The sequence below is a fragment of the Homo sapiens genome, chromosome X (assembly GCF_000001405.40).
Source record: "Homo sapiens chromosome X, GRCh38.p14 Primary Assembly".
Classification (NCBI taxonomy): Eukaryota; Metazoa; Chordata; class Mammalia; order Primates; family Hominidae; genus Homo; species Homo sapiens.
The window spans coordinates 41,708,278-41,722,102 of record NC_000023.11 but is presented as its reverse complement, the minus strand read 5'-3'; the positions used below and the strand labels follow the sequence as shown (position 1 = coordinate 41,722,102).

Sequence of the window (13,825 nt, the reverse complement as noted above, 5' to 3'; positions counted from 1 at the left end):
AGGTCTATTTTTGTTAAACAGTGTAATTCATTCAACAAATACTTATTGGAGTTTCTACTATGTTCCTAGCAGCATGTGGAGGTCACAGAAGTAGGATGTTTAGTCACAAGCTAATTGAGGGTCTCTGGAAATTGAGCAGATTCCACAAGCAAGCCAAGAATTTAGATTAATATGTGATACAGATTTCAAATGCTCTGTGAATTAGAGAAGGGCAGAAACAGTGACTCAAAGTGGTTCTGAAAGGCTTTGTGAAAGCAAATGGAAGGAAAGAGAGGAGAACATAACCTAGTAAGTGACAGTTTTGTGCCAGGTATGGGACAGAGCATTTTATGACTAAGAACCCTAGAGATGTGTGGTGGGAGTCCCATTTTACACGGGAGGAAATTGAGGCTCAAAGAGGTTAAATAGCTTGCCTAGAGGAATACAATTAGTAAATTAGCTTTAAAATGACCTCATTCTCTGCCTTAGAAAGAAATTATTGGTTGTTCTAGCAGGTCAATAAGGGTACCTTATGGTACTCACAATAGGGTCATGTTTTAAGTATTTTTAACTTTGTTCAGATAGGGTTTCCTGTTCTGATTTATGTATTTGTGTATCCTGTTCTAGACTTGAGGTAGCAGAAACTGACCATGGAAGAAATCAAGTCCAGTTTTTTTCTGTCTTTGAAAACTCTGGACTTTGTTAAGCAAACTATTATTCCAACAATGGCAGTATAAATTCTTTAGGATTCAGTGATTTTGAGTTCCCCAATTGAAATATATGTAAATTTTATTTTCATTCTTCTAAGAAATTAGGAAATATTGTTACAATTGGTAAAAAGAGTAAATGTCAGGGAATACTAGATTAATAAAGTATGTTACAAGTATTCTGTAAAAGTGGCCCCTTTGGACTTTTCTCATTCAAATCACCAATAGTTTTCTTTGGTTCTCATTCATCTTGCCCATCCGTCTCTTCAAGGTTCCCCTTCTATTGTCCAAGTCCAAATGCTCTTGGCCTAACAGTTCTAGTTGATTCCTGTATCATCTGCCAAATATTGATCTCCTAAGTGTTCTGCTGTCACCCTTAGGATTTACTTCCTTGAGGTGTTAGAGTTATGTCCTACAATTGAAGTTCTGTCTTGTATTAATTTTCCTGCTTTTGAGATGGATTTGTGTATCAAGTGTGTTTTTTAATCTGGCCCCAAAATTCATCTGGAGTGGTTCAGTGAGAGTGTTTCAAAGGGCAGGCATATACTTACCTGGCAGAGGAGATACCATCATCAAAGGGCAGGCATGTGGACATTTATTTTGGCAATCCATGGTGGGCTATACATAGCAAGGGGACATGAGAGCTTTCCTGACTCACATGGATTGTTGGGGTTAGAATTAGGGTCCCTTATCAATTTCCCTCAGAGCCAGAACCCAGAGGACACAGGACAGCTTAGTCATTCCTGAAGCCATGTGCTTCATCTAGAAATTATTTTAGGCTATCCAAACTAGTGTTTAAACTGGCTGCAACTGGCCTCTTAAGTACTCTCACTAACCAATCAGGAGCTCAGGGCATTGGGAGGCTGGTATGCAGAAAGAGAAGACATGACTAATTTAGTACACATTAGAATATCATATTCAAAAGATAATTATTTCTTTAAATCAGGGGCAGTGGTAAGTAAGCCTTGTCCAGTTCAACATACACCCAAGCCAGTGGTTATCTTTAGGAGGAGTGAGACACAGTGCAGTTACTCAAAGCTATGGTTTGTTCAAGGCTCACTGAGCCCCCTGCCCTCTCCAGGAAGTGGTGTCTGGCCACAGCCTTGTTTCCAGTCACACTGTTCTCAGGCCCTCACCGCCTGCCACAAGCAGCTCTGATCGTGGGTGTCCCACCCTTAATCAGAGTGTGAAGAAAAACCTCTCCTTGTTCTGAAGAGCTGGTTTCTCAGCAAGCAATGGGAGCGTTTCTCTCAAGAATTACTTTTAAAAACAGCAGAAAATACAGTCTGAAGTTTGTAAATTTATAATAACACAGAAAAGTTATCAGCTTTTGTAAAAAGTAAAGCAGAGGTTCCTCTTCGAAGACTTTCCTCCCCATTTAATTAGGAATAAATAGTAACTTCTCTTAGAAGTGAAATTTATTCAAAGACCTGTGCTAACATTCTTAAATATCTGCTAGCCGTGATAAAGAAATCAATGTACTTTATGTTCTTAGCTCCCACAATTTAGCCTAAATATTTGCCCTGGCATGCTTATACTGGTGCAAGCAAGCATTGGGTCATAGCCTGTTCCTCTTCCTTATTTGCAGGTTTTTACTTTTCTCAGCATTCCACAAGTTACTTCCTCCTTCTTTTGTTCTCCTCTGCCTTTGCCTTTTTTAAGAAGTTCTAAGTTGCTAGCCAATCGGGACAGATACAGAATGCGAGGTCCCGTTCCAGCCAATGGAAACCGGACACAGCAGTAGGGTGGACACGTCAGCTTATAAATGACCCTGTCTCCTTTGTTCAGTGTACTCTTGTGGCAAAACTGCTGGCGAGTGTACCCTTTCTGCAGGAAGTAAAAATGGCCTTGCTGAGTAAATTAAATTTATGTTCAAGTGGTATTTCTTTATGGTACCGGGGAACAAGCATTTCAAACGCTTTTAAGAAAAGACTAATGACAAAACAGAAATGGACTTGGTGAGTTGAAAAACACATACACAAACTCAAAGGGCATTTTCTTATTAGTTTGCATTTCCTTGTGCATCCAGTGAACCAACTCCCCAGGAGTTGGATCCATCTCTAAATTCCGCTAGTAACTTCACCTTCAGTAACCGATTGCAGCACAGCTGCTGCTCCAAACTGTGGGTGACCACCCAGGAATTAAAGGTTCCTCATCTCCCAACCCTTTCATCCTTTGTCTTACCAAACCACATGTTTCCATGAACCTGAACCAGGGCCATTCCAGCAAACCCCACTTCATTGACACTGAGAAAGAGTAGAGACAGGCTTGGCTTCAGCTCACCTCCACTAGAGCACTCCCACTGATCACAAAACCCACACCACTACCTCAAATGCTAATAGTTCTTAAAGAATTCCAGGAATTGGCCTTATGAGATAACTAAGATTGCCTCAGGAAGGAATGCTGAACAATTGATTTACAGCCTTGTTGCCACAGGCCACGCCACCAGGTGGCCCATTACTCAAGATAACCATAGCAACCAGATCTGCTGACCTGCTTTGCTCAGCCCAGCCTGCATACCCTTCCCCTGTTACCAGTTCCTGCACTTTGCCTAATAAGAAAGCCCTATGACTCTTTTCAGAAGGAAGCCCGGGAATTCTCTCTCTCTTGTGCTGCCTCCCTTTTGTTTGGGCATAAGCTCCAGTGAAGCTTTGTCTATGAAAGCGCTTTTGGCCTCATATCAATTTCTATTGCATTGAGAGTCCAAGAACCCATGATCGGTAACAATGCCAATTGAGGGTAGAAAAAAGAAAAAAAATCACACACAAACCCAAAGTGCTTTTTCTATTCTCTCATTCAACAAGAGTCTAAACAGATGACCTCTGTGACCAAATGTGTGGGGATTTCTCCCAATGAACAAGCAAGCAAGCAATTCAGTGGACACCAGCTGTGTGTCCTCTAATTCAGTTCTATTCTGACACTATCTACCTGGAGATAGCGTCAGATCCCACAGGTTGAAGGCTGAGTCCCCAAGACTTCTTCCTACCTTCAGATGCCAGTGGCAAGCCCCAGGTTGTTTCACCTGTGCTTCTGACCGACAGGCTATAAATCAAAGATCCCACAGCCCCTCTTTGGGTCCAATTAATTTGCTAGAGCAGCTCACAGAATTCAGGGAAATACGTTTACCGATTTATTATAAAGTATATTACAAAGGATACAGTTGAAGAGATGCATACAGTGAGGTGTGGGAGAAGAGAGGGACGTGGAGCTTCCATGCCCTCCTGGGCGTGTCACCCTCCAGGAACCTCCACATGTACAGCTATCCAGAAGCTCCTTGAACCCTGTCATTTTGGGGTTTTATGGGGACTTCCTTACACAGCCATGATTGATTAAAGCACTGGCTACTGTTGATTACCTTAACCTTCAGCCCCTCTCCCCTCTCTGGAGGGTTGGGAGTAGGGCTAAATGTTCCAACCTTGTCATCCTGCCTTGGTCTTTCCTATGACCAGCCCCATCCTGAAGCTACCTAGGAGCTGCCAGACCGCAGTCACCTCATTAGCATACAAAAAGACATCACTTTGGAGTTTTTGAGGATTTTAGGGGTTGTATGCCAGACAACAGACGAAAGACCAAATATATATTTCATAGTATCCAGTCCACCCTCTGTCTTGGATCCCTCACATCAAAAGGATGTACAACTCAAAAGATACCGCCAAATTACTAGAATCTCATTCAATCAGTAATAATCAGTCCAGCCCATCATATTGTATGAATGTCTCCCAAGGCGAGGCCACTCAGGTTTGCAGGCTTCCATTCAGTCTTGTCAGAGTGCTCTCGGCAAACATATAGCTTCACCCTTTACAGCAGCTGGTATAATTAAGCTAGGAGACAGATATCATTTCTTGCTCTAAGCCTCTTTCAAGGTATTAATATAATACTGGGTTTCTTTCATTTCATAACCCATTTATTCTTTACTCTCACTACTATTTTTCCTTATCTCTATAAACTCCCAAACTTTTCCACCTTTGGATGGGACAATAGAATCAGCCACTGTGCTTATCTAGATTGCAGGCAACAATGCTAGTCTAGCAAGTGCTGCCCCCTCAGTCCACTCCCATTCATGTTAGAAATAAATTTTCGGTGCCACAAAGAAGAATCAAATCAGCACTCCCGCAAAAAGTTTTCTCAGCAAGGCAAATTAACTTCCATAGAAGCGTGCGTCTCGCGGGTGGAGCAATGGCGAGAGCACACAGAACAAAGGAAAGCAGGGGTTTTTATTCCTAATGCAATGAGTTTCTACTACTGTGTCCTGTCTCCATTGGATGGAGCTGGACCACACAATCGAAACTGGTCTTGGTTGGCTAATTTGAAGTGTGCAGGGAGGGGGTTACACTGGCGGGAAGGGCAGTTTTGGGGGTAAGAGCTGTTATGGCAGGAGGGGTAATTTGCAGAGTGAGTGACTAAGGGCAACGAGCAAGAAACAGCTGTGGACTATAGACTGGCGGGAAGGTTGTTTACTTCAGTCAGGGGCAAGGAGACATGAAGAACAAGGAAGTTGAGATTGAGAACAAAGAACAAGGGAGTTAACATGCCAAACTTTTGAAGAGAAACTGATTGTATCTGACATTCAGATAGAGTAAGGTTCCATAGGCACAGCAGAACGAGTGGGCTGTTTTTACCACCAGGGAGTATAGCTGCATTTATTGTTAGCCCCAATTTTGCCAGATGGGATAAGGCACAAGCCACCCCTTAGGAGTCCACCCCACAATCAGACCCTTAGGAATTCTGACTCAAAGTTTAAAAACATAGTTACAGTTTCTTACTTAGGAATTGCCCCTGCTTCCAGCACTTGTAGTTGCAGCCCTGGTCCTAGGACCAATGCATCAGGTAGGGGAAATGTAAAAAAAAAGTTGAGGTGATGTGGGAAAGAAAAATAAAGAGTGATCATTATACCAGTGTACTCCTCCCTTAGCAAGAAATGCATAGTCATACCAGCATCCTTCCACACCTCCTCTTCCCGGATACCTCAGAAAAGCGGAGAAATCTATTGAGTGGGGAAATTCCCTTAGCCCCACTCATGTTGAATGTGAGCACACACTTGCGAAGGCAAATAAGGCAGCTCTTCGTGCTTTCATCTCCCTCTGTTTTAGACAACCAGTGTTTTCATTGCCTGTTCCACTCTCTATCAAACCGTTACTCTGAGGAAGATATCTCTCTGCCCATTGCTGAACATTATAGGCTATATAATGTGTTCCTGGGTCTGAAGAAGTGACAGCCATCCAAATCTGTGCAATATCTTCTGCTCTAGCTTTTATGGCACTCTGAGCAAACTATTATTCTGAGAAGAATATCTCTGCCCACTGCTGGAACATTATGGGCTGTACCGTGTGTTCTTTGGCCTGAAGAAATGGTGTTCAGCTCTCCAAATATGTGCAATATCTTCTGTTCTGGCTTTTTTATGGTATTCTCATCATTCACATCTTCCACCGGGCAAGCAAAGCCCAGTCCAGAATCAGTGTCTACTCCTGTCAAAACCCATTTGTGGCCTCCCAGGGCTACCAGCATCAGCCTCACTTGCCAGCTTGTTCAGGGCTTTCCCACCAGGGAAATCTGCCCCACAGCCATGGGCAATGTCTGTCTCTTTTGCTGGCAGACAGAACAGTTTTTATTGGCATTTTGTGCCTAAGATGGTGCAAAAGAAACATGTCTAAATGCAGCCTATCTCTGCACTGTTGCAGTACCCGTTTATCCACTCATTTCACAGACCCAGGTGGCCACTTCAAGGGAGCACCCAGGGTTGTCTGCTTGTGATATCAATCACTTTCTGAACCAGGATCTTTTTTTTTTTTTTTTCAAGTCAGAGTTTTGCTCTTGTCTCCTGGGCTGGAGTGCAATGGCGCAATCTCGGCTCGCTGCAACCTCCGCCTCCTGAGTTCAAGTGATTCTCTTGCCTCAGCCTCCCAAGTAGCTGGGATTACAGGTGCGCACCACCATGCCCAGCTAATTATTTTGTATTTTTAGTAGAGACGGGGTTTCGCCATGTCGGCCAGGGTGGTCTCAAACTCCTGACCTCAGGTGATCCACCCACCTTGGCCTCCCAAAGCGCTGGGATTACAGGCATGAGCCACCACGTCCAGCCAAGAAAGGAGCTCTTCTGATGGGCATTGACATGTTCTACTTTAATGCACTCCTCAAATTTCCATAGGGCCATTCTCCATATGGGCATCCCTTTAATAAATAGGCCAGGTTTCCACTGCCCTTCTGCCTGACCATGTGGCCAGGCCACTGAGTCAGTAAAAAAATCAAACACAGGGGTTTTTGCTATTGTTCATTTCTGCAGAATGCAATTCAGCCACCAAGCTAATTTGGTCTTACCTTCTTTGATCAAGAGTGGCATCCTTCCAAACAAGATTGTTCACCTTGGAACTGTCATTTACACACCAAGCAACTCTTTGTTGGTCAGTTGAGAGCTGTTTACGGGGCCCTGTCCAAGTCTCAGTAGAATCCCGCAGTTCCTCACACAGTTCCAGAGTCAGTCCTAGGGGAAAAGAGGCTCCCTGCATGAGAGTATTTCCTCTTTGCACTTCCCAGGGAGGATGCTCCTGTATAAACCATTTCCATTTTATTATGGAAGTGTTCTGGGCACTGCCATCCCCATTTGAATGTTTCTCTGACATCATGTGAGAAAGCATGGGTATTTCAGGTGTCAAGATCATTTTATGTCCTTCAGTCATAGGGGTTAACTTCAGTTAATGTCCCATAGCAAGGTAGTAAATACCCCCAAGTGGAAATTCTCTACTGCAAAGTCCCAGTAGTTGTCACTGGGAGATGCTCACAGACTTCTGAGTAAGCCCCAGTAAACGCTGACAAAGGGGTAGCAAATGGAGAATTTGTCCCTATGATATTCCAGCTTCTATTCTACAGATTGTGGGCTTGGGTAATCTTACTGGTTTGCCATTTAGCATGTTCAATTAATATTGCTACAAGGGTGTTTTACAATACAAGGTAAGAGAAACATTCCCCAGTCAGACACAATATCCCCATAATACAGTCAAGTGAAAGAGATACAACCACTTCATGTAAAGTGTGTTCAAATGTACCAACTTACCTTAATTTTCTCAATGCTTACTTTCCTAACTGTAGCCTCTATTACGACTTTACCAACAGGTTTTGAGTTTACAGTACTAGGTAGGGGAAGTGTTCCCCACCCAGACATAATATCCAGTTCCATCAAACATTCAGGTAAAGGAGACATAACTTCTTTACATAAAGCCTGTTTATAAACATTCTAAATCTCGTATTCCTACCAACCCTTACTTTCTGTCCCAGTCCCAGAATTTCTCTTCTTCACTCCCAGACCATTTTACCATTTTCTCCTTAGAAAAAAGCTTTGAATCCCCAGCAGAGGGTTGAGCCAAGGGACCTTAGCCCTTTTGTCAATCTTTGTCTTGATTAACCTGCCTCAACACTGCTCCAAGTAATTGTTGGTCAGCTTTCTCATTGTAATCTCTTCCTCTCATTTTTTCAATTTCTCCTAACTGGGATAAATACACCAAACCTGTTTGGATCCTCTTACCGTTAGGAGAACAGCAGAATCTCCCTACCAACCTTCTATAGTGATGACCTTTGTTTTAACCCCATCGATTTCCACTTTATTCATCCCATTTTTTAATAGCCCTCTAAAGACTCTACCCTGCTTAGATGAGTCCCATGACTCTCCTTTCTTTTTCCTCTTAGTTTCACCCCATCAATGTTTTCTTCATTCACCTTATTTCTCAATAACCATTTAGACTTTCCACCTTCCTGGGATGAGTCCTGTGACTCTCCCCTCTGCCTTTCCCCAGTCTCTTGTTAATTACGCTCATGTTTTCATTGGTGCCCATACAAAAGAGGCTCCCTTAGCCATAGCATTTACTACAGCCAGAGTAATGGATGTATTCAGTGAGTGAATATCTCAGTCATCATAAAGCCAGTCCCACATGGTCTACATAGGAAGCAAATGAGCTGCTGCTTCAGGGTACACCACTTGGCATTTATAGGTGAAATTGGACAGTCCCCTTCTCAGGGTAAACAGGTCCAGTCCACCACGCTGGCCATTCCCTTGGAAATAACCTCCTGTGTGTCTGGAAATCTACCTTTCCATCTGTGATTGTTCAATAATGAACTGCAGGTCCTACCTCAACCAAACATGCTCTTCCACTCTTGAGCATTTAAAACCAAAGAAACTGCTCTGACAGTTCCTTCACAGTATACCCTCCAGTTTCAATAGTTTATCAGTTTTACCCTTTCCCCACATTGACTACCCTTCTTGATAACCACAGGTTGTGTAACTGTCCAGTGGGTTCATCTTGCCCGCTGTCTAGACAGAGCTGATTTATCAATACAGGGAAATTGCAATAGAAAAAAAGTAATTCACGCAGAACCAGCCGTGCAGGAGAGCGGAGTTTTATTATTACTCACATCAGTCTCCCAGAAGACTCGGGGATCAGAGATTTTAAGGATAATTTGGTGGGTAGTGGGCTGTGAATCAGGAGTGCTGATTGGTTGGCTCTGGAATGAAATCATAGGGAGTCAAAGCTGTCCTCTCATGCTGATTCAGTTCCTGGGTAGGGGGCCACAGAACTGGTTGGCAGGTCCAGGTGGGGCCATCCAGTTGTTAGAAATGCAAATACCTGAAAAGATATCTCAAAAGGCCAATCTTAGGTTCACGATAGTGATGTAAGTTGCAAATCTTATGACCTCCAGAATAATGGCTGGTAACATTTAGAATTCCAGCCCCTCTCATCCGTACTTGGTGGCTGGTGGCCTTTCATTCGTTTTACAAGAACAGTTTAGCTTTTGGGAAGGGCTATTATTTAAACTATAAATTAAATTCCTTCCCAAGGCTAGTTTGGCCTATGCCCAGTAATGGACAAGGACAGTTTAGAGGTTAGAAGCAAGATGGAGTTGGTTAGGTCTGATATTTTTCACTGTCATAATTTCCTTAGTTACAGTTTTGCAAAGGCAGTTTCAATCGTAAAGGTACTTCAGTGTCCTTGCATAATTTTTCCTTGGGGGTCAGCTTTGAGGCTAGTGGCCTGGGCTCAGACAGACAAAGTCTAACCTAGCATTCTCCTTTAATTTCATTTAGCTATTAGAGATAAACACCAAAGAATTTAGTATTTCACTTTTTCATATTAGTCTGCATACCCTCATGCAACCAGTGAACCAACTCCCCGGGAGTTGCATCCATCTCTGAATTCCACCAGTAACTTTTACCTTTAGTAGCTGATTGCAGCACAGCTGCAGCTCAAAACAGTGGGAAACCACATGGCCACCCAGGAATCAAAGATTCCTCATCTCCCACCTTTTTGACGCAGGATTTTTCTTGGCCACTTTGCCAATCAGGGACCTCCATGGCCAGCAACGCCCCCCTACCTGGCCTTTGCTTGGCCATGGGCCTGCTGAGGCGTCAGGCCCACTCACCCCACCTGTGCTATGGCTTGTACCTGCGTTCAGCAGTTCCCAAGCTCCTGTCCTTATCCACGAAGAATGAGGATACGCTGACAATTTGAAGGGTGAGGATGGGTAGGGAAGAATTTTATTGAGCAGCAGAACAGCTTTCAGCAGAGAGGGGACACGGGTGGCCCCCCCACCCCTGCAGTCGGGTGGTTTGTCTCTCTCAGTGTGGCTGGGTCCATGGTATTTTATGGATTCAGAATGGGGCATGTGTGCTGATTGGTTTGTGAGTATGCAGAAAAGGTTAAAGCGAAGACACCACTCAAAGGTGGGCACAACAGTGTAGAAAACCAATTAGGGAAGGGTAGGTATATGTAAAATAGGTGAGGGGCGGGGATCAATCAGAGGAAAGCACACCAAACAGGAAGACAGGTTCTCAATCCAGTCCATGGATTTACCCGGGACATGTAGGTAGGCTTTAAACTGTCTTCAGCTTGAAGGTCAATTTCACTGAGGACTCGCCCCTATCTGTCTAGGCATTTTGTCTGCCTCCTGCTGCTGTCACTTTCATTCTTTCTCTTCCCAAACCACATGTTTCTGTGAGCCAAGTCCATTCTAGCAAACCCTACCTCACTGAAACCAATTCATAGTTTGGAAGGAAAACAAAACTCACAAAGTACTTTTCTACTCTTTCAACAACAATTAACACAGATGATTTCTGTGACCAAATGTGTGGGGATTTCTCCCCAACCAACAAGCAAGCAAGCAATTCTGCAGTTGACACCAGCTAGGTGTCCTCTAATTCAGTTATGTTCTGACACTATGTACCTAGAGATAGCATCAGATTCCACAGGTTGAGGGCTTAGTCCCCAAGACTGGCCCCCACCTTTAGATGCCAATGGCTAGCCCCAGGCTGTGTCACCTATGCTTCTGACTGACTAGCTATAAATCAGGGATCCCACGGCTCCCTCTTTGGGCCCAATTAATTTGCTAGAGCGCCTCACAGAACTCAGGGAACCAGTTACATATACCCGTTTATTATAAAGGATACAGATGAAAAGATGCATAATCCTGGGGCACGGAGCTTTCCTGTCCTCTCTGGACAGAGGCACCACCATCTGGGAAACTCCACAAGTTCAGCTATCCAGAAACTCTCCGAACACTGTCCTTTTGCGGTTTTATGGAGGCTTCATTATGTAGGCATGATTGGTTAAACGATTGGCCATTGGAGATTAATTTAACCTTCAGCCCCTCTCCCCTCCTTGGAGGTTGGGGATGGGGCTTAATGTCCCAACCCTCTAATCCTGCCTAGTCTTTCAAGGCTACCAGCCTCATCCTGAAACTACCTAAGGGTTCCAGCCATCAGTCAACCATTAGCATACAAAAAGACATCATTCTGGAGTTTCTAAGGATTTTAGCAGTTGTATGCCTGGAAAGAGGGTTGAAGACCAAATATATATTTTATAGTATCACAGACCTGATCATCAAAGTTTCACTATCCTTCAGCTTTGGCTTTTGGCTTTTCATATAAGCTTGAGTGTGCTGGCTAAACATTGTCTTTTAGGAATGCACAGCATAGAAACTCTAGCGACTTCAGTGGCAGTCATAAGAACTGGAATCATTTCAGGGGTGGTAGTTGAAAAGCAGACAGGAAATTAGCAGGTTTAGAATAGGGGAGAAACTTTAGCATTGAATTACGTGAGGCAAAAATATATTTGAGGGACAAATTTTGAATTTTGACATCTTCAAATCAGTCAAACTTGGTTCATATTATGCTTCAGAACTAACCATTCTTTTCTGTAGATTCTTTAAAAAGCCAAAAGTAGATAAAGATTTCTATGAATAAAGCAGTTGAGGATAGAATTCCAAAAATAATGCTGTTCCATTGTATCACCCCAGGTACAAAACACACACACACACACACACACACACACACACACACACACACACACACACAAAATCTATACCCTGGGAAACAGTGACTTGGATTGCAGTGAGATTTAGCGAATTTAAAAGGCATCATATATCAGTGCCCAGAATTCTCCACTTCACTGTCTCTTTCTAGGGCCAAGGTTTCCTGGCCATTTTATTACCAATCACTTCTTTTGAATTTCTAGATACAATTGTCTTAAGGTGAAGTCCCCTGCTCCATGTAACTTCCTGTCCTTAATCAAGGGGAAAAAAAGAGATAGATGTCAAGGGAAGAGAAAGAAGAATTGAATATCTCATGTCTTCCCTCCTATACCCATTAGTGTCTGTATTCATTTTCTCTTAAGCGCCCCAAGCATGAAAGTCACAGGTTTCTCTGAGAACCACATTTAGAAAATTAATAATAATAAGTGACAGCCACTGATCTGCTTTTATATATATATTCATATAATTTTAGAAATATCTCTGAGATAGATTCTATTATTACTGTCACTTTCTAGATGATGGATGTGGGTCCACAGAGGATAACTTGCCTACAGTGATAAAACTGCTCTATTATAAGGTCTAGATTTGAACCCAGATAGTCTGACTTTAGAGCCCACATTCTTTACTGTTTTATATGGACTCTCATAATATATGATAATACTCAATAGAATCTAGTTTATTGCTTTAAATAAGGAGACCAGCTATCCCCAATGACCAAAAATATATCTCATTTATGTACTTGTTTCCAATTTTCAATCTCGAGATTTATTAACTCCTGCCAACTCTCCACTGTAAAGGTACCCTGTTTTCATTGTAATTGATAAGTAATCTGAAGGTGATATTTTAAGACTCTATGAGTATACTGTGTTTCCCTTTCACCCACTGGATTTTGACATTCTTCGATGATTCTCTTCTTGCCTAAATCAGCTGTTTCCTTGGTGGTGGCATCTTGGTAATCTTTTGGTGAATGGATATATTAGATTTGAAGTAGTCCTTTTAAGACATCTTTTGGTGAGTGGATGTATTACATTTGAAGTAGTCCTTTTAAGACATCACTCTAAACAAGTCTTGTTGTTTTATATTATTTCTCAAACAGCACTGTATGTGGCATAGTTTCTAATATTTTCATGTTGCCTCTTCTTCCCTTTCCTCTATCAAAAGCCAGCCTAAAAATGTATGGTTTTAATAAACCTACAAATAAAGTATTGAACTTGGAAGTATAAGTTCTCTAGAGTTCCAGAAATATCTGGAGAAAAAAAAAACTGGAAAGAAGAAACCTGCGTTAAATTTTATAATAACACTGAAAAAAGTCTTTAAGAGGGTCACTTTTTTAATAGTGCCTTGGCCAGCAGAGGGTAATATATTACCAGCCCTAGTTAAACCACTTTTGCTGACGCATAAACTGCCCACATTGCACTATTTTCCAGCTAGAAACATAAAGCAATAGAAAAGTTTGGGGATTTTTTGAAGCTCTAATACAACAATAAATTTCTTTTAGTAGCTGAAAACCACTTTACACATGATAGAAAAAAAGTAATTGTATAGACAATGGATTTCTGTCCTTAAGATGAAAGCCCGGTGCCACTCATCTGCCCTTAATAGGGTATGTCCTTTAGGGATAGTTTTTGTTTTGTTTTGTACTAGTGATTATCACAAGAGTTACTTTTGTAAAGTATTCACAACTACAGTTATCCTAGTGGTAGAAAGAAAGTCTTACATTTCAGTATGTGAAAGTTTTTATTACTGTATCTTTTAGTTTTTCTTTAACTTTTTTTAATCATAGAAATTGATGGACATAGTTTTAAAAGTCAAATAACACTGAAAAGCTTGTAATAAAAACATGTTAT

The 13,825-nt window shown here is 42.2% G+C and overlaps 1 protein-coding gene across 11 annotated transcripts in view, besides 3 other annotated features; it reads left to right on the top strand.

Moving 5' to 3' along the window:
• Positions 1 to 13,825, top strand: part of CASK (calcium/calmodulin dependent serine protein kinase) — a 408,621-nt gene that overhangs the window by 201,452 nt on the left and 193,344 nt on the right. The gene's annotated exons all lie outside the window — the stretch shown is intronic.
• Positions 2,892 to 3,392: an enhancer, noted in NCBI's record as "OCT4-NANOG-H3K27ac hESC enhancer chrX:41577964-41578464 (GRCh37/hg19 assembly coordinates)". NCBI's record gives its function as "activates a minimal SCP1, AML or CMV promoter by ChIP-STARR-seq in naive H9 embryonic stem cells {active_cell/tissue: H9 hESC(naive)}" and the evidence as "EXISTENCE:reporter gene assay evidence [ECO:0000049][PMID:30033119]".
• Positions 9,591 to 10,091: an enhancer, noted in NCBI's record as "H3K4me1 hESC enhancer chrX:41571265-41571765 (GRCh37/hg19 assembly coordinates)". NCBI's record gives its function as "activates a minimal SCP1, AML or CMV promoter by ChIP-STARR-seq in primed H9 embryonic stem cells {active_cell/tissue: H9 hESC(primed)}" and the evidence as "EXISTENCE:reporter gene assay evidence [ECO:0000049][PMID:30033119]".
• Positions 10,092 to 10,592: an enhancer, noted in NCBI's record as "H3K4me1 hESC enhancer chrX:41570764-41571264 (GRCh37/hg19 assembly coordinates)". NCBI's record gives its function as "activates a minimal SCP1, AML or CMV promoter by ChIP-STARR-seq in primed H9 embryonic stem cells {active_cell/tissue: H9 hESC(primed)}" and the evidence as "EXISTENCE:reporter gene assay evidence [ECO:0000049][PMID:30033119]".